Genomic DNA, 23,994 nt, shown 5'->3' with positions numbered 1-23,994 from the left:
GTGCTATTTCTCTCTTTGTCTTGTAGTTTCCCTACAACAATTGTTGTATATTAACCATCTGCAGTATATCTGCCTTTCCCATGGACTAAATTCATCCAAAGTGTAGACTACAAACTGGATAGCCACTCTGCACGATCCCTGGCACCATGCAGACCACCACATATCATTTACATCTGTCCATTTACATGAAGAAAAAGGAAATTCAGGTGATAGGAGCATACGTGCATGTAGATACACACATCTATAATGAACCACACAACCAGTTTAGTATTAGAAAATGTATTAGGCCAAGCATGGTGGTTCACACCTGTAATCCCAGCACTTTGGGAGGCCGAGGCAGGAGGATCACCTGAGGTCAAGAGTTCGAGACCAGCCTGGCCAATATGGTGAAACTCCATCTCTACTAAAAATACAAAAATTAGCTGGATGTGGTGATGAGCACCTGTAATCCCAGCTACTTGGGAGGCTGGGGCAGGAGGATCACTTGAACCCAGGAATTGGAGGTTGCAGTGAGCTGAGACCATGCCATTGCACTCCAGCCTGGGCAACAGAGCAAGACTCCATCTCGAAAAAAGAAAACATATTAATCAGGCTGGTTTATACTTCAATAATTAACACGGTTATTAGTTTATTAAAAGTAAGTTCTCTTGCCCTTGCCACTATCAATAGTACCTGTTTATGAACAATCAAGTGTTTTGAGTTTCCAGAGGTACATTTCGCTTTCACATTATCTTATAAGATAAAAACATGCTTGGCCAATGTTAGTGTTGGCTAATATTAATAGCAATAGTTGGACTTCAAGTTTAAGATCTATAGCAATGGAGATATAGAGAAGTGTACTCATAACAGAACTATAAAATAATTCATGAAATTTTGCATATTAGCTTATAATAAACTCTTGATCACTATTATTTAGGTCAGAATTGCCAAAGGTAGAGGATGACTCGTCCCTCTTATGAAATTTTACAGAAAACTCAGTTTTTGTTGATTTTAGAATAATGAATATATCTCCCTCTTCTTTCTAACAAACAATGGAAACTTTGATAGAAACACCACCGAAAGTGTATTCCAGAGACCACCAATTTCAAGAAAGGATCTCCAAAAGAGGGGCTCCAACGTCAAAAGACGGAAGGGAGAATGGTGCCCCTGATATCCTTTTAGCAGATTCACAGTGCATGGTGGATCTCAACCTTGGCCATACAGCAGGGGCACTAGGCACATTTTGTTGCATACACTTCCCTAAATACAGAGTCCGAAGTTCAGTCCTGGAGAGGCTGATTCAGGATGTCTGGTAAGGCAAAATGGTCTAGTTTTAAATGCTTCCCAGGTCATTTGATGCAACTAGTTTGCTAGTTTTAAATGCTTCCCATGTGATTTGATATAACTAGTTTGCTAACTACTGCTTGTCTTAAATGCTCTGAGTAGCCCTTCAGTAAAAGAATCTATTCAACTTGATTGTCTTAGAATCCTCCAAATTTGTCTGATCATGGAAAATTTAGGCAGTTCACTGATAGAATGTGCTCTGGGTAATGCTACCCTAAATGCTGAGAACTCACTAAATGACTCTGCCTTATCCAGTCCCAACCACAAGCCATCTTATGAAACTATGAATCACAACTCAGTTGTGGGTCTTAACCAGTACGTTAAAAAGTTTAAGAGTAGGCATTACTACACAAAATGTGTATGCTGGATCATGATGGAAAATGCTTTTTATAGTGAAACCTGCAGTCCAAAATTGGAAAGCCTAGTCCCAGAGAAAGCCTAAGGAGCAACTTTGCCATTGGCAAGATTAGCTTCAGACATGAGTCTGGAAGCAGTTTTGACACCCTGGGCCAGAGCAGGCAAATGGGCTCAACAAATGCTACTTCTTATATCATTGTGTCTTAGGATGTGAGCCAGCTTTTGAACTCTGACATTGGAAACAATGATCAGGAACATAAGACAGAAGCCATAAAACCTTACCCCAAGGAATCATAACTGTAATTAGTTACTTACAAATAACTTAGAACCATAGCATCCACAGAATCAGATTCCCAGCCCCTCTGCCAGTTGAGTTGTCCACTAGAGATACCACAAGCCCTCACTAATATTTCCAGTCATTGAAGACCAGTTCAGAAGGAACTGGCTCATATTCAGTAAAGATATCCAAAGTGATTTTACATCTTTTTTTTTTTTTGAGACAGGTTCCTACTGTCTCACCCAGGCTGGAGTGCAGGAGCAGGATCATAGCTCACCATACGCTCGAACTCCTGGGCTCAAGCGATCTTCCCACTTCAGCTTTTCGAGTAGTTGGGACCAAACACAAGCATGTGCCACCATGCCCAGCTAATTTTTTTTAAAATTTTTTGTTGAGATGAAGTCTCCCTATGTTGCCCAGGCTGGTCTTAAATTCCTGAGCTCAGGTGATCCTCCTACCTCAGCCTCCCGGAGTGCTGGGATTTCAGGTGTGAGCCACTGCATGCATCCCTTTAGTGGTATCTTTTGCAACTTTTAGTTCTTCAAACTTAATTTTTAATTACAGTTATTAATACCCTTTTCTAAGTGAGAAATGTGTACCTTTTTCACAAGATTTTAGATTGATTTGAAATTGAGGATTTTATCTTATAATTTCCTCTTAACAGCCCTTGGGAGAGGCAGGTTTTGCTTGTTGAAGTCAAAGGAAGAGAGAACGAACACAGACACTTCAGTTCATCCTTCATTCTGGTGATTCACACAGCACGATTCTCTCTCTGTTCTTATCTAAAAGCATCTAGTGGAGGGCAGGCCAGAGTATGATCATCTCCACCAGCTTTTGTGGAGTGGAGCAATACACATGTGAATTCATTTAATCCTTACAACAACCCAATAAGGTAGCCATTACTATCACCTCCCACTTTATAGATGGGGAAACTTGGACACACAGGTAATTTGACCAGGTCACACCACAAAGAAGTAACAGAGCCAGGACTGAGACCAGGCTGCCTTGCTCAGATAAGAACTCCATCTCCTGCACTGCATGGCTGGTGTACAGAGGCCCAGGCACTCCTAAAAACAAGTGAGTCTCTGGGGCCTGGACCTCGTTGGCCTCTGAGAAAATGGTGGTAACTGAGTGCTTCGTGTGAGTTGAACGGGGGTGAAGCAAGGAGACGGTGGTGTTCTGAGGTGAGATGGGAGCAGCTTGGGCAGGTACTGTTAGGAAAAGCGCTGTGGCCTCTCAGGAGAAAGGAAGCAGGGAGTGGCTCATGGGAGACACGTGACGTCTCCTCTTCTACCCTATAATGCCAGCCAGAAAGGGGCTGGGGTCTGGAGGAAGGAGACGCCTGGGTCCAGGGAAGCATGGGTGCTCTGGGTGGTAGACGCATGAGTTTCAAGGCTTCAGGGCAGCAGCCGGGCATGCACAGGGGGCGGATAAAGATGGGCTTGGGAAAGAGCAGATGAATGTCTGGTTATATACATATTCTGCCACAAGACAATAAAGACGCAAGTGTGAATGCAGGCGGGTTTAAAGGCACCCCAGGGACGGGCTCCGCTAGCTTTACTGCCGTGGTGTGCTGCCAAGGCTTGAATACGGCGTTTCTGTGCGCGCGCTACTCCTCCTTTTGCCTCACACTGTGTAACATACACAGTGGCACTGCCTCTTACTAGACTTGGTGTTAGAGGTCACTCTCTGTTTTACAAACATGTACTGTAAACACAAGTGGGGCCCAGAGGACAAAAGGTGAACGAGGGTGCTCACTGGGAAGGATGAACTTCACTGCACACCCATGCAGAAATCCTGTGCTTTGAGAATATAATAAAACCTTAAGCCCTTGATTTATACTCCTCCAAGCTCAGCCTAAATTCACACGGAAGATCCATCTTCCAAGCACATCCAGGAATGGTGACTTTGCAGATGAAATTCTGGAAAATCACTTCAATCAACTGTGGCTTCTGCTTTTCCTTAACTCTGTCATCCTTCAAACAGAGTCACCTCACTCCATTCCTCCCGCTCAGGTGCACAGGAAGTGCTGAGGGTGCCCGAAATTCTTCAAAGGGAAAGGCCGAGCCCTTTTAAAAGTAGTGGTTTCCAAGAAAAGGAAAATCAAATTCATTTCTTATCACTATTTACCAAGACATGTGATTCAAAGCCAACTTTTGGTACCAAGTAATCTTCCCTAAACCAGGAGGGACATCAGAGTTTGAATGAGTGGTCTAAGAGGAGAAATTGTTTCCAGTTGAAATGGAAAACCTGGTTCCAGTTATCGAGATGTTGGAAGGTATTTATTTTTAGAAGGTCCACTTTTTTCTAATTTTCTTATATATGGAAAAAAGTAAAGGCCTTGGTAATATATATGTGTGTGTATATATATTATATGTGTATATATTATATATTATTATATAATTATATCATATATTAGTAATATATGATATAATTAATATATATTATTTTATATATATATTGTGTGTGTGTGTGTGTGTGTGTGTGTGTGTGTATACATTTTCCCTTTTCATCATCAAAAGCAAAACTCAGGCCAGGGGAAATGGATCCAAGTGGGGAGGGGAGACATGGATAAAGCATGCTCTCTAAGCGTCAGGCAGCCTCGGTGATATCCCTCACCAATCCTGAAGCCCCTGAAACAGGGAGAACAAAGCAGTGGGCTTGCCCAGCAGCTGTCCCTTGCAGAAGCCCTGCTGGGCCTACCCAGCTCCACCTCCTCCTGGTGGGCAGTTACTCTGGGCTTGCAGGAAATGCCTTAATTAAAATGCTGGCCACACAGACAACTTAGCAGGCTGTGCGTCTGCAGCAGCAGGAAATCCTCACAATCCCCAGGCTCCCAGGGATCCTAAGGAACCCAGTCAAGATGGTGGAAAGACCTAAGTGGCAAACTTAGGCCACTGGGCCCTTCCTGGTGGTGTAGATAGCTAAGGATAGCATCATAGACTCTTCAAATTCCACAGATTCCTGAGTTGAAAGAAACACAACTATGCCAAATGGCTCTGAACATTTTGAGAAGTAAAACACTTTGGGAGGTAAATGACCTCTAACAAACTCAAGAAGCAGTCACATGCATTCTAACTTTTGCAGGCAGTTCACAGGCTCCAAGTTATGATCTCGTCTAGGGGTTGGGAAACTACAGCCTGAGGACCAAATCTGGCCCCCCATCTGTTTTTGTAAATGAAGTTTTACCGGAACACAGCCATGCCCATTCATTTACAGTATGGTCTATGGCTGCTTTCGGACGACAAGGGCAGAACTGAATAGTTGTGACAGAGACCGTTTGGCCTGCAGAACCTAAAATATTTACTGTCTAACCCAGTATGGAAAAAAATTTTTTTTTACTGGATCTAATTATTCCCTGATCTGGATCAGCTCCTCATTTCACAGATGAAGAAACTCAGGCCCAGATGGGTTAAGAACTTGTAGCGTAGCAGGACCAAGAACTGAACCCAAACTCCTGACTCCTAGCCCAGTGCTCTTCAACACTGTCTGGATTTGAATGAAGGTGAGGGGAAAATGAATTCAATTTTATGGCAGTTCCTTTTGTTCCATATCTCTTTGCATGAAAACAAATATTTTATGTAATACTGAAGACGGCCTTTCCCACACAGAAACCATTTCATCAGGTTTAGTAACCATAAAGTGGACTTGATTTTGTAAGGATTATTTTCTGGTAAATGCATTTCAAGGTTCAATTAGCTAAACCTGTGTACACAAAAAGGTGTCCTACACCTCGCCTCAGAACATGACTTTCACATGGTTGGAGATGGTCAGTTTTGCAAGCCGTCAGGGCAGAAGTGAATGATGCAATCTTGGCTAGAAGTTAACTTCTTGGTATGCCCCTTGTCTGGGTTCTGCATTTGTTCTCACTGCATACACACATGCTCATGGAACTCCTCAGCAGCACAGTGCCAGGCGACAAGCCCAGGCATTCCTAAACTATCTCTAAAGCAATTGCAAGAAAATAAACTCCCTCCTACAGACCCACGGGGACAGAATCTGCTGTGCACAGGCTGCCTCCGGTTCTATTGTCAGCCAGCTTGTAGACATCAGAGTGTGTTGTAGGCCAAAGAGGAGAAAGACAGGTTTTTTTTCCCCAAGGAACTATGGCCCTCAGTTTGTAAAGGCACAGAGCCCAGACACACCTCACACCACCTGAATTCAAATCCCCATTAAGAAACAGCTTGGGGGCCAGGCGCGGTGGCTCACGCCTGTAATCCCAGCACTTTGGGAGGCCGAGGCACTCCAGCCTGGTGACAGAGCAAGGCTCCGTCTCAAACAAAAAAAAAGAAAGAAAACTGCTTGGGCACCATCTGGACAATCCTCTCCTCGACCAGGAGGTGGTGAACCTGGCCTGGCAGCCTCACCCCACAACTTTACCCAGAACCACCCCATGACTCACTACGGTGTGGGCAACAGCACCCCAGCCTTGCCAGCCCTATCCCTACCACTGGATTCTGACGGGGTCTGGGCTTCGGCTAGGATATTAATTCTACATCCATTTCTCCCCTTCACATTTTGCGTCTCCACCCGTCAGTGATATAAGAAAATACATAGATCTCCTAAAAGCTATTCTCCTTTCCTCCTGATTCTTTGTTGTTAGAATTTTACCGAACCACTGAAAGCTAATAGTAAAAGTGCTTGACAAAGGAAGAGCCTCCGGAAGTTAAAGGTGTTTGGCAAAAATGAATGGGGCAAACTGTAATCAGCAGCCGCACCTTTGTAAATATATCGACCAGGCTCTGCACCTCTGCAAGAGAACTGGCAGAAACCTGGGCTCAGGACCCAGATGGCAAGAGCTCAACACCACACCATTGTTTACTACTTGGAGGACCTTGGGCAGTTTGTTTACACTTTCAGTGCCTTTGTTTCCTCATCTGTAAAATGTGGATAATAATGACATCAACTAGGTAAGTTAGTTGAGATAATGCAAATAAAGCAATTATCACAATGCCTGACAACATATGTATTAATCTTCACCCACCAGATCCTTCCATCATCACCATCTCAATCCAGCAAGCATTTCTGTGATGTACCACCATGCCACTCTCGCCACTGTCTGGGAGACACCTGATTGCTAGATGCCTTCATACCTGAAGGGTTTGCTGTCAGGGTCAGTGTCCTTGAACCCCATCTCTTCAAGCTTACAGCGTCGGTACAATTCATAGTGGCGGGTGTGAGTCTGCTCTCGCAAGTCCTCCATGTTCACGCGGATCAGCATCTCTCGAAGTTTCACAAAATCGCAATGATTTTCATTCTCAACTACAAGAGAGGGGGGAAATGGCGGAAGTGGGATTAGCAATGATGTCACTGAAATATCTGCAGTGATGCTTCCAAGATGTTATTACCATCACTCCTGAAATCTCTGGGGTCTCAAGACCATCTGAAGATCCTTTACTGGATTCACCTTACATTCCTGACGAAGACAAGATTTCTGACAACATTGACCATAATACTGATGACAACGCTGACTGCTGAGTGCCTACTCAGCACAGAGCACAGAGGGAGGAGCTTGAAAACAAATATTGTCTTTACCCTTCATAATAACTCTGCCAACTAGATGTCATGACTCTTGCTTTGCAGACGCAGGAGCTTGGTGAGCAAGCTGACCTCCCAAAGAGAGGTAGCAGGGTCTAGATTCAAATGCCAGAACATCTGGCCCAAAGCCAGATGTATTTGTACCACTCCATGCTGTCTATAACTGTGCAGGGCCACTTTTACATACCACTTCATTTAATTTTATCAACAACACTAGGAAGAAAGGAGTTTTCTTATTGTAGAGAAATTAGTAAGAGTAAGAAAAATTGTATTTTTCCCAGGGATCTCAAAGGTACTGTTTCTTCTCACAGCTTTATTGCCTTTATTCAAAACAGAGGAAAAGGAGGTCTGATACATCTTAAACCAGCGAAGAACTTTCTTTAGCCATCCTGCTTAATCCATAGCACTGGATGTCCTCCTTCAGAACATAAGAGTAGGTCATAGAGTCCTTGTCATTCAAAGTGACACACGTGACAAGCTTTCAGGTTAGACTGTGGCCATGTCCCACAGTGCCAAATATAGATCAAATATTCTCCTAAGTCTCAGATTTACTAAGATAACATTTTATTAGAAGACATTTTTTGCATAGTTGATGGAGAAAAAAGTACCCTCTTGTTTGCAAGAAACTTTTTGCTGCTTTTTAATACTTGGCTGATGAAACGAGCTCCAACTCCTAGGGAAGAACTATTTTTCAATCAGGACTTTATATTAATTCCCTACACAACCCAGCATCCTTGAGGGGTTACCTCAAGGGCTTGGCAGCCATGTCTCTCCATTGTCTACCTAGCTGATTACTTTTTCTTTCTTCCTCACCTCCACGATTGTCACATGTGGAGCCCCACCACTCCCTCCCACTGCCAGCCCACTGTTGAGGGCCTCCCTAAACAAGACGGAAAATGAACAAACACGGCCATTCACATAGGGGCTAAATATGAAGACTCCATCTCCCATGCTGTGCACATACCCTGCACCACACCCCAGGGGTACTGCCTGGCCTTTGCCATCTTGTTGCCAATCTTCACCTCTTCGGTGCTGCCAACCACTGCAAATGGGAGATGGACCTGCCAAGCAAAAGGACAGAGAATAGTTACTTTCCCCTGCTCTGACAGACTGGTTTCCACCAGTCTCTATCTTCTCCCTCCTTCTGCAGGCCTCTACTTGGTGACAAGGGAAAAGCAGGCTGCAGTTTGGTGGGTGGATGTCACGTATCCCACCCCCCTTATAACCAAACACTGAGTATGAGACACGAGCTAGATTCAAGGGAAAAGTGTATGAGTCTTTGCAACTATAAAGTAAGCTTAAGACTTGTGCTAGCCGATGCAGTAGCCACTAACTATATGTGACTGTTGAGCACCTGAAATACAGCTTGTAGGAACAAGAAATTGAATATCTAACTTTTAATTAGTTTACATCTAAATTTAAAATGGAAGCAACGTAAAATATTTTTCAATTAAATGCAACTTTATTGTTTTGGCAAAACTGCATTTCACTTTGCTTCAAACTCAAATCTTCTGAAAAAGACCAAGGTAGATGGCAAGGTAGACACAAAGATTAAAGATAAAGTATCTTTTTGGCACTTATTTCATATTGAAAATCTTTAAGGTATGTTAGGAGAAACCTGTATGTAAATTTAACTTTTTAGCTGTGAATTTTACAAAATGTAAATACAGATAAAATATTTTTGGTGAAAATTCAGTCCACGATGAGATATGCTGTCATTGTAAAATATACACTGGATCTCAAAGACCTACATTAAAATATCTTTTTTTTTTTTTTTGAGATGGAGTCTCGCTCTGTTGCCCAGGCTGGAGTGCAGTGGCGCGATCTCGGCTCACTGCAAGCTCTGCCCTCCGGGTTCACGCCATTCTCCTGCCTCAGCGTCCCAAATAGCTGGGACTACAGGCACCGGCCACCATGCCCAGCTAATTTTTGTATTTTTAGTAGAAACGGGGTTTCACCGTGTTAGCCAGGATGGTCTCGATCTCCTGACCTTGTGATCCGCCCGCCTTGGCCTCCGAAAGTGCTGGGATTACTCCGAAAGTGCTGGCGTGAGTCACCGTGCCCAGCCTAAAATATCTAATAATTTTTATATTGAATACATGTTGAAATTATATTTTGCAACATATTGGGTTAAGTCCTTAAAATTAATTTCACATTTCTTTTTACTTTTTTAAGGTAGCTACTAGAAAATTTTAAAATACTTGTGTGTCTCACATTATAGTTCTATTTGAACAACACTGCTTTAGACAGTTGACTATTGCACAAATTTCTAAGTCCGAAACACACTTTAGCCCAAATTACTGGCTCAAGCTATGCACCCAGATTTATCTGAAGTAGAGATGGTGTCCAAGACAACTGACTCTTTCACATTGGTTTATTTGGTAGTTATCACTGCATTCTGAGTGAGGGAGGAAATAATAATCCTATCTTTTTTCTATTAGCATGTAAGAATAAGATTTGAAATAGCTGCTCCAAGAATTATTATTTAGAGTTCCTTGATCCAGTGTTCTTCCACCATAGATACACTGAGAAAGAAGATAAAGTTTTCAAGCCAATTCCTCTCCTACAAAGAACTTGGCATAATCATTGGCTCAGATTGCCCAAGTAGCATTTTGTTGGACGCTCAAGATATTGAAATGTTCTAGTTCATCTCACACCCTAAGAAGGAAAGAAAGCACATTATCTTTCTCAAACAAGTCTGAGTTTCAGACCTGAACCCTATTGTTTCCCCTGAAGTTGAGGAGCAACAGGACCTTTCTGGTCAATATTTTGGTGTAATGACCAAGGAAATTTCTCCACTCAAATGTAACAAAAGCAACTGCCAGTGGAATCTGTTTTCCTCAGACATTACGTGGAATTTGATCAGCAAGAATAGTTTGTAATGAAGAGCCTAAAAGAAAATTTCTTTAAAGAGCAGGATTAATTTGGAATGTCAGAGATTCAGTTCTATTAATCTGATAAAGAGAGAAAGAGAGCAAAAATTCTTGGGTATTTTATTTCCAATAAGTTTAACAAAGATATAGTTCCATGACTAGAAAATAATGAAAAATTATCTAGAAGGATAGGAATATAAAGAAAAATTACATAGCAGTCATTCATGATACTTCCTGAATCCCACACTGACATCCCAAATTACAGTTCTACAGCAGAATAAAGGAGTGCCATCTCAGTTTGAGATTTTGACCTTCCTATAAAAAAGTACAGACCTCCTGCAGTATCCACAGGGTACCGGTTCCAGGACTGTCCATGGACACTGAAATCTGCAGGTGCTCAAATCTCTGATATAAAATGGTATAGTATTTACAAATAACCTATGCACATCCTCCTGTATACTTTAAATCATCTCTAAATTACTTATAATATCTAAGACAATGTAAACACTATATAAATAGTTATTATACTCTATTTAAAAAAATTTTTTTTGTAGAATTTATTTTTTATTTTCTTGCTATGTTGACCAGGCTGGTCTTGAGCCCCTGGCCTCAAGTGATCCTCCCTCCTCGGCCTTCCAAAGTGCTGGGATTACAGGTATGAGCCACTGTGCCTGGCCATATATATATATATATGTGTATATATATATATATATATATATGTGTATATATATATATATGTGTATATATATATATGTGTGTGTATATATATGCTATATATATATTTTAGCATATATAATATATATGCTATATATATTATAAAAACAATAATACAAAATATATATATATGCTATATATATACACATATATATATATATTTTGTATTATTGTTTTTATTGTTGCATTTTTTTTTTCCAAATATCTTTGGTCCATGGTTGGTGAAATCCATGGATGCCGAGGCTGATGGTACACTGCTCTGCTCGGGCGGCAGTACACAGGGTGAGAGTGTAGCCTGACAGCCAAAGCCTGGGTTCCAATTCTACCTCCACTACCCACAGCCATGCAATCTTAGGTGCTGTGCTGCAGTCTCCTCATATATGAGGGAGGAATAATAACAGCACCTACCTATGCAACTGTTGTGAGGATTAAATGGAAAGTCTTGAACAGTTCCTGGTGCATAGTAAATGCTCCAGAAATGTGAAAAATGTCAGGTGCTATTATTATTATGTAGCTCTCAATACCCACAACCAGAGAATTTTAGAGGTGGAAGAGATCTTGCTTATTATACGTTCAATCCTGCTTAAGAATTCCTGCTACAGTATCTCTTCCAAGTGGACTGAAACAGGGTCTGTTATCTACAAACCACTGGCGATGGGAACTCACTACTTCCCAAGAAGTAAGGTGTATCTTCCATCTCAGTGGCTCTACTAGTTAAACACTCACTTCGTAATGGGACCAAAACCCCTTGGTGATCTTTTGTCCATTCATTCTTTTGCACAAGTCTAGCCATTTTCCCTTGTGGCAACCTTCCTTTCACACCCCATCATGCCTATTTCCTGGGAAGAATCTGCTTTCCAGATTCTTCCAACAATTCTAGAGCCTTTACTACTTTGAATTCCAACAACCATCACTGGGCCTCCACTATATGCAAAGCATGTGGCTTTCATGGATGTTATGCATTCCCAAAGGGAAAAAAAGATGTGCAGAGTCATTGCAGCTCACAGCTGAGCTATGGGCTGTGAGACACACAAAAGAGTAGTGAAACAGACTTGAGCATCAACCGGCAGGATGGAGACTCACCAGGAGGGATTACATCACAATCACACAGGGAACCACTGTCACTTTAATCATTTATCACCTGACTAGTTCCTCTCTGTGATGTGGAAATTGTATCCTCAACTGCCAGTTTACCTAATGATTAGAAAAGTATAGGGAAAATAGAAAGGAGGGAAGGGCAGGATCCAATCACCAAAGCAAAATTGGGACAAGCTAATGTATTTCTGCCAAGATTGGTAGAAACAAGCACAGATCTATTTCCTTTGAGCTGCTTTTTATGAAATGGTACTGGGCTGGCATTTCCTTCTCACAAGATTTGCTGTAGAAATCGTAACTGTTAGAGTGGGAAGGAAATTTGAGATCATCTTGTCTAAAGCTCCCATTTGACAGATGGAGAAACGGAGGAGCAGACTGGTTAAATGACTTGAAGTGGTGGCAAAGCTGGACTACAGCTGAAGTCATCAGGTTCCTAGTCAGTCCAGTGCTCCAGCCACTCTACAATGCTGCTACTAAGACAGGCGTTCATAAAAATCACTTGTTCCCATTTGACTTGAGGACTTACACTCATTGTTGCGTTAATCTCTGCCACCGTTTCTTCATCAGTGGGAAACTGATATATCTGGACCCCATTGCTGACCAGTTCACTCATGATCTTACTCTTGAATTTGTGCAGTTCATTCTTGGCAATGGTGTCAGCTTTTGCAATTATTGGAATGATGTTCACCTGTAAAACAGACACGTCCATTTTTACACAATTCCAACATAAGAAAAATAGACAAGTGAATAAAACATAGCAAACAAATAAAAATTGCAAAACCTTACTGTAAAAAATAAAGATGTTTCCTACTTATATCAAAACATCTCATGTACCCCATAAATATATACGCCTCCTATGTACCTACAATTTTTTTTTTTTTTGGGGTAGAGATGATAATGAAAATCAGACTTTCTACCTAGGTGAAAAATTAAGAAGACCTGAGATAAACTTTTAGTTCCATATTCAAACACTTTTACTTCCTCCCATCCTGCACTGAAAGTATACTTGTAATTTCCTCTCCTATGCTACCTCATTTTTCTTTACAGAGTAAAGGAAGTGTTACTCTTCTATGACAAATAGTGATAACAAAGGAACTTATTCTTTGAATGACCAACCACTCCTTTTAGACCCCTCCCATCTACTTTAGGCTCTTGAGTTCGCACCTCCTAACAGTATAACAGCAAAGTTTTTGTAAGAGCAGTGGAGTATTCAGTTCTATGCAGCCCAACATCCTTTCTTTCTTCTGATGACCTGAAAATTGCTGAGAGGAGAACCTATGTATTAGCCAAAACAAAAATGGTGTTGCCCACTGTAAAATTTTTCAAAATCACACCAACTAATTCTTTTGAAAATCAGTAATTCCATCAAATTACTCCTTCATGCCAGAATAAAATCGAGCGCCAAAGGCAAGGCTCACTTTCACAGCATCAGTTACAAAGAACAGGGGAGAACTCAGAATTTGACATTAGTGGCAGGAAGCCCAGAAAGGGAGCCAAGGATACCCCAGAGCACAACTTCCAAACCCCATGTGGACATTCTTTCCCCGGCTGCCCCCAGCCCTGTGCACAGGACACATTTCTTAAATTCGCATTTTAAGATTAACTTTCCCCTAATCCCTGTAAACACAGGTTTCAATAAGACGTTACTGACATCCGATATATAGAACTATGATCTTCACCCAGTTCAGGTGAGAGAAAACAGACTCGGTAAGGAAGCTGTCCTAGCCAGGGAACAGAGAGTCTTTCGGGAGGTGTTCAGGTCCCATCTGCATGCCTTTGCTTCTCCTTTTATCCAAAGGCCAAATTAGAAATCCTGATAAACCCGAATGAGATGACATGCTGAGAGAAAGACCTATTCTTCAACCTATTCCTCAACCTGCTCCTAAGCTCACCATGCTTGGGCTTCCTCCAGCAAGTTGCAGACTAAGAAAAACATCATTGATGGTGGGGGAAATGTTTGGATCAGGACCAGAGGAACAAGAAACTTCCTATTGTTCTTATTGGCTATCTTTGATACACATTTAGTATTTAATTAATGTCAACATAGACAAAATGGCAGAGATTCACTCTTTCTTGGCCAAATTGATCAGAGGAGATAGAGAAATCAAGCAATTTAGTTTTAAAACCTCTTTTTCCTCACTAGCCGGACTTGAAAGTCTTTTCTGAAATGACCATACATTTGCTTAACCCTTCCCTTTACTTGTATAAATAAAACTTTGATATTATCATTTTCAGATGCTAGCTAGCTCTCCAACTCTCCAACAATATCACTTCTTTGAAAGTTTAACCTGCTTTATGGTTGACTGTTTGCTTTTATTAGTTGTGCCTGTTTTGCCTTTTTCTTTTCCGTTTTCAATGAACTCTATTAAACATAATAATAGTGTTGGATATTATCCGGCTGGGTCTGCATACTCAGCCCTCGATTAGGAAGCCTCCTCACTCTACTTCCTTCAGAATGTCTGTGGAGAATGGGGCACTCTTGAGAACAGGGAGGTCTGCCCCTGCTTCCAAGGACACAACAGACCCGGAAGCGGCCCTCACTGCCCGTGATCTCTCCACTATCATGGCTAATGGCACAGCTCCCAGGGAGCTGAGGAATCAGATGGGATGAAGGAGGGTTTCTATTTATTCTGCGAAGAGTACTCTAGCTGCAGTGATCCTTCCAGGCCATTAGAAGATTTTTCTGTAAACTACTGTGTCTGTGCCTGCTGGAAGCCAAAGGAGCCTGGCTTGGCTTCAGCCTCTCCAGCCCTTTAAAGGACAGTTGAGACAGAGGCCTTGGGGACAGGCTGATCTTCTGAGCATTCTCTCACTGTTTTGTCCCTCTGGAGAGACAGCATCTTTATCAGTGTTGTTTAGATAAAATCATAGTAACAACACCCAGCAGAGTCCTCTAAAGAGCTTTATCATCTGATAAGACTTTTCTGTGAATGCAAAAGGGGTTTTGAATCTAACGGTAAATACCATCCACAGCTTAGTTTTGTGGTTGTTCTTGTTGCCATTTGTTTCATCCTTATTTCAGAATGTATTGTCTTCTATTTATTTCAAAATGGAAAGTCTAATTAATATATAGTAAGGTGCAAAATTTTATCAAACTTACCAGTCTCTTCCTTCATGTGTTGTGAAAAAGAGAAGGTATAAATGTGGCAAGCTCAGGGATCACACTGAAATTAAGACTTTGCTTTACTTGAACACACATGTGCAGTTCAGTTTTAAAATTGAAGAAGCTGGACCATTATCATCACAGAGACAAAAATTTAACCTTTTATTCCATTGTAAACTTTGAATTAAAACCAAACCTCTAAACACCTTTTAGAGAAAGTTTTTTTTTTTAAGAAAGTAAACAAACCTGGAAGTTATATTTCAACCTCCCATTTAAGAATTAAAAATACTTCCTGGAAAGCAACTTGACTTTTTTTTTTTTTTTTGCTAGTTTTGTTTTGTTTTATTTTATTTTTGTCTAACAGGCAAGAGGTTTTGAAGCGTTTTTCTCATGCTGTCAAACACTGTTCCTGTAATCCAGGAAAAAAAAAATCACACTGAAAGCAGAGAACAAATTAGGGCATTAGGATAAAGAAGATCTAAAAGGAGAGTGGATGATAATCAGAATGGCAGCAAGTACCTTACTGTCCAGCTTTTTCATGGTGACCAGATCCAGGGACTTTAGTGAATGTCCAGTAGGGGCAATAAAGTAGAGGCAGGCATGGATCCTCGTGTCATGGTAGTTGAAGAGAGAACGTTTAATCTTCAATTCCTCTTGCAGGTAGGCCTCGAACTGGGCATCAATATATTCTACTATCGGCTTATAGCTAGAATGCAGAAACAGCATGTTTCTAGTCTCAAACCTCTTTCACAGGACAATCCTCCATTCAACATCACAATGGCTTCTTCTCTCCTAAGGGCTAAAGCCCAAGTCCTTACCTAGGTATCCAGGCCTTCCATCACCTGATCCCTGAACAGCGCTCCAGGCTCACCTCTCCTGTCCCAGCCACGCCCAATCATTTGTAGCAGCCCGCCCCCCACCCATGTCAAGCCCTTATTTCCTCTGTGTCTTTGCTCACGCTGGCCCCTCTGCGAGAAACCTGTCTTTTTCCTACTCTTCTCCTGGCTAACATTCATCCTCTAAAACAGAGACTGTACATACGTGGAGCTGACTGCCACTCCCCCAAGGGGTATCCGTGGAAGATATTGCTAAGAGACTGTGGCATTCTTTCCTGCTGGGCCAAAACTGGGCCTCAAAAATCCATCTCAGAAAAGTGACTGTGATAGCCTCTCCCTACTGATTGCCACTGGTGCACAAAATGAAACTGGTGTGTGGTTTCAGGATATGACACCACCACCTACTGCGAGCTATTCCCTGGTCATCTGCCCTATTCCTCCAGAGATGGGGGCTGTCTGTGCTCCCATAGCCCTGTGCATAATCCATAACTCATCTAGGAACTGAGGCGCCTAGACTATTATGATCTTCAAGATTCCTTTCAACTCAAAATCTTCATGATTTAAAGGTAAATGTCGTAACCCTCTCTTCTCACCAAATCATTCAAATCTGTTTTGGATAATTATGTGTAATCCTATTAACTGACCATAAACACAATGACTAATAGCATATTGGGGATACACATTCCATAAACCACATGTCCAGGAAGTAAGTAGTATATTAGGTCATTGTGGGAAACCCACTAATTCTTTCTGGTCTCCAAAGGGACTACTCAGAAGAAGTTCGTTTTAGCAACAAAGAGACTGTTCTATTAGGAATACGAAGAGTTAATTCTCCCCAAACTTTATTGCCTTTCCGAAGATACAAGTTTTAAGAAAAATAAAAACCTTTCAACACCCAAATCCCATACCCATAAGTTAAACTGAAACCCTTGAAAGGGAACCACAAATCTTTTATAATAAAAATGACGCAGACATCCTAAGAAAAACAAACATCCCCAAAATAAACAATAACAACAAACAAACTTATGAGCAAAACTGAAAGCAGTCATAAAAAGCTTTTTGATATTTTTCTTTGGTGATTTTATCACAATATATTGGTTCAATTAGAGTAGACAAAATCTCTAGAGGCTTTAAAAAAAAAAAAAAGGTAGGATGTACCTCAGCAATAATAAAGTTCCAAATCATGACAGGCAAAATTCCAATAAGAAGAATGAATGAGCAATAAGATTCTTCTATATTTTCTAATCTTGAAATATAGACATATATTGCATAATAATAATAATATTTAATGAGATAGTTATAGAGGATGGTGGTTAGAAACATGGATTCAAGCCTAAAACCATAATACAGCCGCACAACTTACTAGCTGCACAGCCTTAAGCAAGTCACTAAACCTCTCTGTGTCTCAATTTCCTCACAGGTAAATCAGAGACAAAAATAGTAGTTCTATCAGAGAGCTATTGTGACAAATAAATGAGCCAATACATGCAATACATGTAAAGGGCTGGCACATAAAAGTCAGATATAACTATTTCATAATTATATAATAAACAACCACCACTATAGAATCAAGCCTGACTTTTTAGAAAAACCTAAGGAAAAAAAAAGGAACTTTACATTCACCCAGTTCTCTGCTGGTTATCTGTTCTGCTATGGAGCTCATGTCCAGTAGGGAAGTAGAGCAAGCCACTCCAGTGAGGTCCACCCATGCCCTTTGCCCTTTGAGTCTGGGGCTGATCCTTCTGTCTCCTGACACTGAGGCAGATTTGGGGATTAGGGCTCTTCCCCAGCAGCCTCTTATCCCAAAGGGTAAGAGAAGCAGCTCACAGCAATTGCTCCCCTGCCTCCCCTGTGTCTGATTTTTAGCTTTTAGCACCTCCTCCTCTCAATAGTAGTCCAAATATGGTTCTGTTTTCTATTAGTTTCCCTTCTTGCCTCTGGTTTTGATTCTGATCCTCCAAAGATAATGAGAAGCATAACAACACTCATTTTGCAGTGAGGAATGCTTTCCCCACTGGATTCAAGATATCTTTTGTTCTCTAATATCTCAGGCTTCCTTCTACCTGTTCTTATTAGAGAGTCCTGGCCAATCATTCAGTCTCCCTTCTTTTCACTCTATGTATTCCCTCTAGAAAATCATACTCATTCCTGTGTTCCACTCACCATCTATCTGATGACAAGTCATAAATCTCTACCTCCAACCCAGATCTTTCCTCTGAGCTTCAGACCCATCCACAATTGGTTATCCTATATTTTCAACTGCTTCTCCAACTAAATATGTCCAAAACTGAACTATTCATCCTGCCTTCAAACCCTCACTTTCCCTGTATTCCTTAGCATGGTGGGCCACCACCCACACCACTGGCCAAGTCAGAAACCTGGGATTCAACCTGGAGCCTCCTTCTCTTATGTCATACACATAATAAATATGAAATCCCATCTACTTTACCTTCCATACCATTATTAACCAATAAAAAGAAATGTATTCCTGGACAACAATTTACCAAAACCACTATTCCCTATGTCAAAGATTTAATTATGCTGATGAAATAATTTCTTCTTGATGAGACTCAAGCCAGCCAAGTGGTTTTGTACTCCTCATCATCATCCTGTAGATGAGATGAATTATCTGCCTCTTCCTCCAAATCCTTTCCACTTCTCCATCTAAAGTGAGAAAGATAGGAAGCTTAATCCCAACTTAGCCTTTTGCTAGCCCCATTCCTACTAACACTTATTTATATTTTTTTTGCCAATTAAAACTTCCCTGAATTGTGGCCATATCAATCAGAGGAAAGACAGGAGGACAAATCCAATCTAGCCCTTACGTTTTCACATCATTTTCTTTTAAGGCATGGAGATATTCCTTGTTACACAGCACTCATTTTTTTTTCCATATACCTCCAGCCATAAAACATACACACACACAAAAATGACAGAGGCTAACCCTAAAACCGATGGAAAAAGATACTTAGACAATGTGATCCATCCATCCAACCTACCCACTGATCATTCTTGCAAAATGGCCAATGCCATCATTCAGGGACTGACTTTCCACTTCATATACGACCAAATACTTACCATGTTTTTCCCTTATCTTGCTGTCTGTTAGCCAATTTTCCTTATCCCTTGACTACCTCCACCAGAAAGTGTGATTAAAAACTTAAAATTTAAAGGCCAAACAGTCCATCTCACTACTGTTTTATAACTCTGATAAAGATTTGGTGAGGTTGAAATTCCGTCTCAGGGGATTTCAATTATCTCTGCCTTTGAGGGCTAACTATCATTACAGCTAGTGATACGCCATGGACAGCTCACCTCCCATCTCCCCAGTGTGGGGCAAACTAATTATTCTATTTCCAATTGAACAACAAAACTTGCTTTCCCTTCTTCCCCAGGCCCCTTTCTTTCTCCACTGAAGAGTACAAACAGCCAAAACAAGGAAGCCCTTAAATAACAAAGAGTGAAATGTGCTTTTAAACATAACAGGAAACCTTACCAGATCTCTCTTCCTGCCTCCTTCTAGCTAGCCTGGTCTGAGGCAGATAATAATACAGGAATGTTGACATGTCCAAAGCCTACATAAACAAACTGGGACATTCTTGAAGTCTTGCATCTATGGCAGAAAAGCTTGCCTAATCCCCAAAGTAGGTAAAAATCAACATGGGCATAGAGAAATACCACATCCCTTTCCATATGGTTATATATTGATGCAGAAATGAATATCCCACTTCCAGTTTCTTGAGGGAGGCAGAGCCTGTCCAGATAACAATTTGTGAACAAGTAATTTGGCTTTACAGTCAACAGTGTCAACAATACCTTCTGAGGCACAGGGTAACAGAGAGTTTTAAGTGCCATTTAAAGAGGTTATGCAATAGCTGTCAAGAAATTTCAGAGGAAAAAAAATATTTGGTATCTAGGTTAAGTTAATATCACACTTCCTCTCTTCTAAATCTCCTTGGAAACTATTATTTGACCCAAATGAGTCAGATAATTTCTTAAGGAGGGCTCCAGCTGCAAATATGAGGATATGCATTGTGCTAACTGTTTGCTGCTGAGTGCTGATTGGGGAGTGAAAAGCCACCAGCAGCCCGAGGGAAAGTCCCAGTTTAGGGGAGAGGCAAAAATTGAGTGGCAGCACTGTGGCAACCCCAGTGAGCTGGAAGAGCACAGGGAATCTCAGCAAGAGGCTATGTGGAGGATGGTTCTCATTCCTTGGGGGAGGGATCCTGAAAAAGTACAGTTGCTGTCTTCCAATCAAGGAATGGACAAGCAAGATTTTTCCTAACGCCAGTGAGAAAATCTATACCAGTCTGAGAGATGGAGAACAGGCCTTGCTCTGGGTATATTCTGTGAGTATGCAATGATTGAAACCCCCGGCTCTCTTCCCAGCTCCCACAATGCACTTGTGCCCCTTTCCTTATGACCAGGCCTTTCTCTTCATTTACTGCTCTTGGCATTACAAACAGCCTTCAGGCAGGGGCCTCTCCATCATTCCCTGTCATTGAGGTCATATATTAAGAGCAACTGCTCAGCTGCAGTGTCAGAGCTGAACTTGTTCCCTGCCCCAGCACAATGTACAGATAGTCCATTTTGGTATGCAAAATAAAATCTTTCTCACTCTATCTACCAATTGTTCCTGTTATCACGGGACAATGTCTACTGAAGAGCATTTAAAGTGCTTTGTAGATAAAATAAAGAGCTTGGTGCTCAGCTAAAGAATGAATTAAACATTTATCTGTCATTACTGTGGTGCTCATACTTATATCAGGCATAGATAAAATATATCTAGGCATTTCTAGATAAAAATAGTCGAGTTCCTCTTTACAAAACACATGTGTATAATATACAGTTTTGAGGAATATGGGGAAAAAATCCTGATACAAGCAAAGTGTCTGAGCTGTAAGCAAACACACCCTAACTTACTGATTTGTTGTTCATGTCTACATGTTGGTCACACTAAGCAGGTAGACACTTATGCCCATAATGTTGTAACTGCTCAAAGATGTTTCTGGAAGCCCCATTCTACAATCACCTTTGGACCTGGGGCAGTTTTATTTTAACTTTCTCAAACTTCTTTTGAGAATGAATGTACTATGTAAAATAGTCATAAGACATCTGAGGTTGAGACTGATGAACAGAATTGGTGCTCTTGAGAAGGAATGTGAACAAAATCCTGAGACTAAGACTAACATGGGTTGTATGCCACGAAATTTTAAGAATTGAAAACTTCCCTCAAATAAGGGCAAAAGATAACTCATGGTAAAGACCCAAACTTACATGGTTTATAAATGGGGTACATTATAAAAACTCAGTGTACTATTTTATCATTATATAGCAAGCCATGGTGAAGGCATTTGATTACCTGGGGCAGATTTGGTGGAGCTTCTAGAGACCTCCCCTCTAGTGTCCTGGCTTCCCAAGCAGTATGAAGTGATTGATGGCTGGGGTTTCTGCTAAAACTGTTCTGTAGGGTGGCTGGGTGTTTCTCTAGATTGCTTTTCCTGGTAGGAAAGCCCCAAACCTGGTTTCATGGCCTTTGTGGAAAGATGTTGTAAGCTAATTTAGTCCCTCTAATAAAGCCCCTTTCTGATCCTACTAGCTGGGATCAATTTTGATGTCTGATTCTGACCTCAAGGAAGAATATTCTCAGAAAAATTCTCAGAGGACAAGAATATCACACCTTTTAGGCAATAGAGGACCAAGCCCCACAACTAAAAAATCCCCAAAACATTTGGCCTTTAAATTTACCTGGGATGGATCCTGCTATCTCCTCATCCATTCATGTCCCCCCAAAATCCCAAGATGTACCTGTCATCTTTATTTATCTGGTCTCCAAATCCCACGGTGTCAACAATGGTTAACTTCAGCCGTACATTGCTTTCCTGAAGCTCATAACTTCTGGCTTTTAACCGAACACCTGGTTCATTGTGAGTAGCTGGGTCACTTTCAAATTTGGTGTTGAACAAAGTGTCCATTAACGTGGATTTGCCAATGCCTGTCTCACCTACATAACCACAAAAGAAAAATCAGAGAATGTGTCAATGTCTCTCAGACATCAGTTCAATTCATCAGTATTTTTTATTAGTCATGATTATAAAGTTTAAAAAAGAAAAACTGTCACCAGAAATGTCACTGTGAAGAGATAATTCTTTCTATGTGTAATCTATGGAATACCTTCCTAAAAATGCCTCAATGAATTTCAGAAACTATTTAGCAGAGAGATTTCAAATTTACAGATCAAGAGATTCTTCTTTACCTCTGAATAGAAAAATTGTACTTGTAAGATTGCCTGTGCTCAGTTTGTATATTACAAGAACAAGAACATGAACTTTGTCTCTTTCTCTCCTAAATGTTAGAGTATAAATCTATATTACTTAAGGGATAAAAGACTATACTGTTGAATTTCTGTTACTTGAAACAAGTGATTCCATTTACACTGAATTACCTAAAAGATCAGTTAATTCAACATCAATATGATACCATGTCGTAGAAAAGAATTACATTATTCAAAATAACACTCTTGATGACAATAATCACTAACATCACTGAGTGCTCACTTTGTGCCAACCCCGGTGGCAAGAGCTTCTAGTGCATTATCTCTTTTATGTATGTATGTATATATGTATTTATTTATTCAATTTTGAGACAGAGTCTCGCTCTGTCCCCCAGGCTGGAGTACAGTGGCGCGATCTCGGCTCACTGCAACCTTCATCTCCTGGATTCAAGTGATCCTCCCAGATCAGCCTCCTGAGAAGCTAGGATTACAGGCACATGTCACCACACCTGGCTAATTTTTGTATTTTTAGTAGAGACGGGGTTTCACCATGTTGGCTGAGCTGGTCTTGAACTCCTGACCTCAAATAGTCCACCTGCCTCAGCCTCCTAAAGTGCTGGGATTACAGGCATGAGCCACCACGCCCGGCTACATTATCTCATTTAAACCCTAGTACTACTCCCATGAAATAGGTACTACTGTTTCCTCCATGTTCAAGATGGAACACTAGGCTTAGATAAGATTTATGAGTAACTTGCCTGAAGTCATTGCTAAGTGGTGGAACCAGGGTTCTAACTCAAGTCTGTATGGTTCCAACACCTGCACTCAACCAAGACAGCAGCCTGATTTTACTATTACACAGAAAACTGACTGCCTAACATTTTCCAGTTATGGTTATATTAATCTCTCCATATTGTTTTTATTTTTCTTTATCCAGCTGGAGTCAAGAAGCCAAACATTTGTGGCTTCTTAGATAGTTTTCCCAGCTTCAGTGTGAAGTTTGTGACAATGAAAGTAAATGATGTCAAATGACCTTATTTACACTGATAATTCAACTCAGTAAGTGTTTACTGAGATCTCCCATGTGCAAAGCAGAGTAGCAGGTATCTGTAACCACTGTACCAATCACATGATGACACCCAAATGTGGGGCTATGAAGAACTGCAGCCCAACCCTCAAAATAACACCAAGCAAATTCTCTCTTAATTCTAATTCTTATTGTTGAGTCAAAGACAGTTGGCAATGAGAAAAAAACAGCCTTATGTTCGTGGTGGTGGTGGCTGAGCATATGATGATGGAGAGAAGCAGGTAGAAATCTAGAAACATTAGCCCTAGGGATACCTTTTTTCTTTCTTAATCTGGAAAATTTTTCAATTAGATTTCCAGCTCAATTTAAACTTGCCAATATAGAACAGCCCTTTCAACTACTTCTAATCCCAATATGTTCCTAGGAGCATCCCCTCTTCTAAGGACTGCTATAATGACTTTAAGGATGGTAGTGTTCTATGGAAAAAAGAAAAGCTCTGGGCAACCCTCCCACTATAATGACAAAATCTACTTACTAGTTATAAATTCTGTATTGTATACTCATTGCTTTCTAACAT

The 23,994-nt window shown here is 40.9% G+C and overlaps 1 protein-coding gene and 1 long non-coding RNA gene across 9 annotated transcripts in view, besides 3 other annotated features; one reads left to right on the top strand and one right to left on the bottom strand.

Annotated features, from left to right (window-relative positions):
- Positions 1 to 23,994, bottom strand: part of SEPTIN11 (septin 11) — a 90,403-nt gene that overhangs the window by 12,434 nt on the left and 53,975 nt on the right. For all 8 annotated transcript variants that reach the window (XM_017008401.2, XM_017008402.2, XM_017008403.2 and 5 more), the window contains 5 exons: positions 21,925 to 22,120; positions 15,800 to 15,986; positions 12,704 to 12,865; positions 8,460 to 8,556; positions 7,051 to 7,219 (listed from right to left, as the gene is read on the bottom strand). In XM_017008401.2, coding sequence (XP_016863890.1) covers positions 7,051 to 7,219; positions 8,460 to 8,556; positions 12,704 to 12,865; positions 15,800 to 15,986; positions 21,925 to 22,120 — 811 coding nt within the window. The remainder of the gene's footprint in view (positions 1 to 7,050; positions 7,220 to 8,459; positions 8,557 to 12,703; positions 12,866 to 15,799; positions 15,987 to 21,924; positions 22,121 to 23,994) is intronic.
- Positions 1,640 to 1,719: an enhancer, noted in NCBI's record as "active region_21634". NCBI's record gives its function as "activates an Ori minimal core promoter by ATAC-STARR-seq in GM12878 lymphoblastoid cells {active_cell/tissue: GM12878}" and the evidence as "EXISTENCE:reporter gene assay evidence [ECO:0000049][PMID:35858748]".
- Positions 4,227 to 4,846: an enhancer, noted in NCBI's record as "NANOG-H3K27ac hESC enhancer chr4:77944028-77944647 (GRCh37/hg19 assembly coordinates)". NCBI's record gives its function as "activates a minimal SCP1, AML or CMV promoter by ChIP-STARR-seq in primed H9 embryonic stem cells {active_cell/tissue: H9 hESC(primed)}" and the evidence as "EXISTENCE:reporter gene assay evidence [ECO:0000049][PMID:30033119]".
- Positions 4,396 to 12,999, top strand: LOC105377291 (uncharacterized). Its single transcript, XR_001741734.2, has 2 exons — positions 4,396 to 5,462; positions 6,945 to 12,999. It is a non-coding gene; the product is annotated as an uncharacterized LOC105377291 (long non-coding RNA).
- Positions 11,914 to 12,446: an enhancer, noted in NCBI's record as "OCT4-NANOG hESC enhancer chr4:77936428-77936960 (GRCh37/hg19 assembly coordinates)". NCBI's record gives its function as "activates a minimal SCP1, AML or CMV promoter by ChIP-STARR-seq in primed H9 embryonic stem cells {active_cell/tissue: H9 hESC(primed)}" and the evidence as "EXISTENCE:reporter gene assay evidence [ECO:0000049][PMID:30033119]".

The sequence above is a fragment of the Homo sapiens genome, chromosome 4 (assembly GCF_000001405.40).
Source record: "Homo sapiens chromosome 4, GRCh38.p14 Primary Assembly".
Classification (NCBI taxonomy): domain Eukaryota; kingdom Metazoa; phylum Chordata; class Mammalia; order Primates; family Hominidae; genus Homo; species Homo sapiens.
The sequence above is the reverse complement of the archived record's forward strand: the minus strand, read 5'-3'. Positions and strand labels throughout refer to the sequence as shown.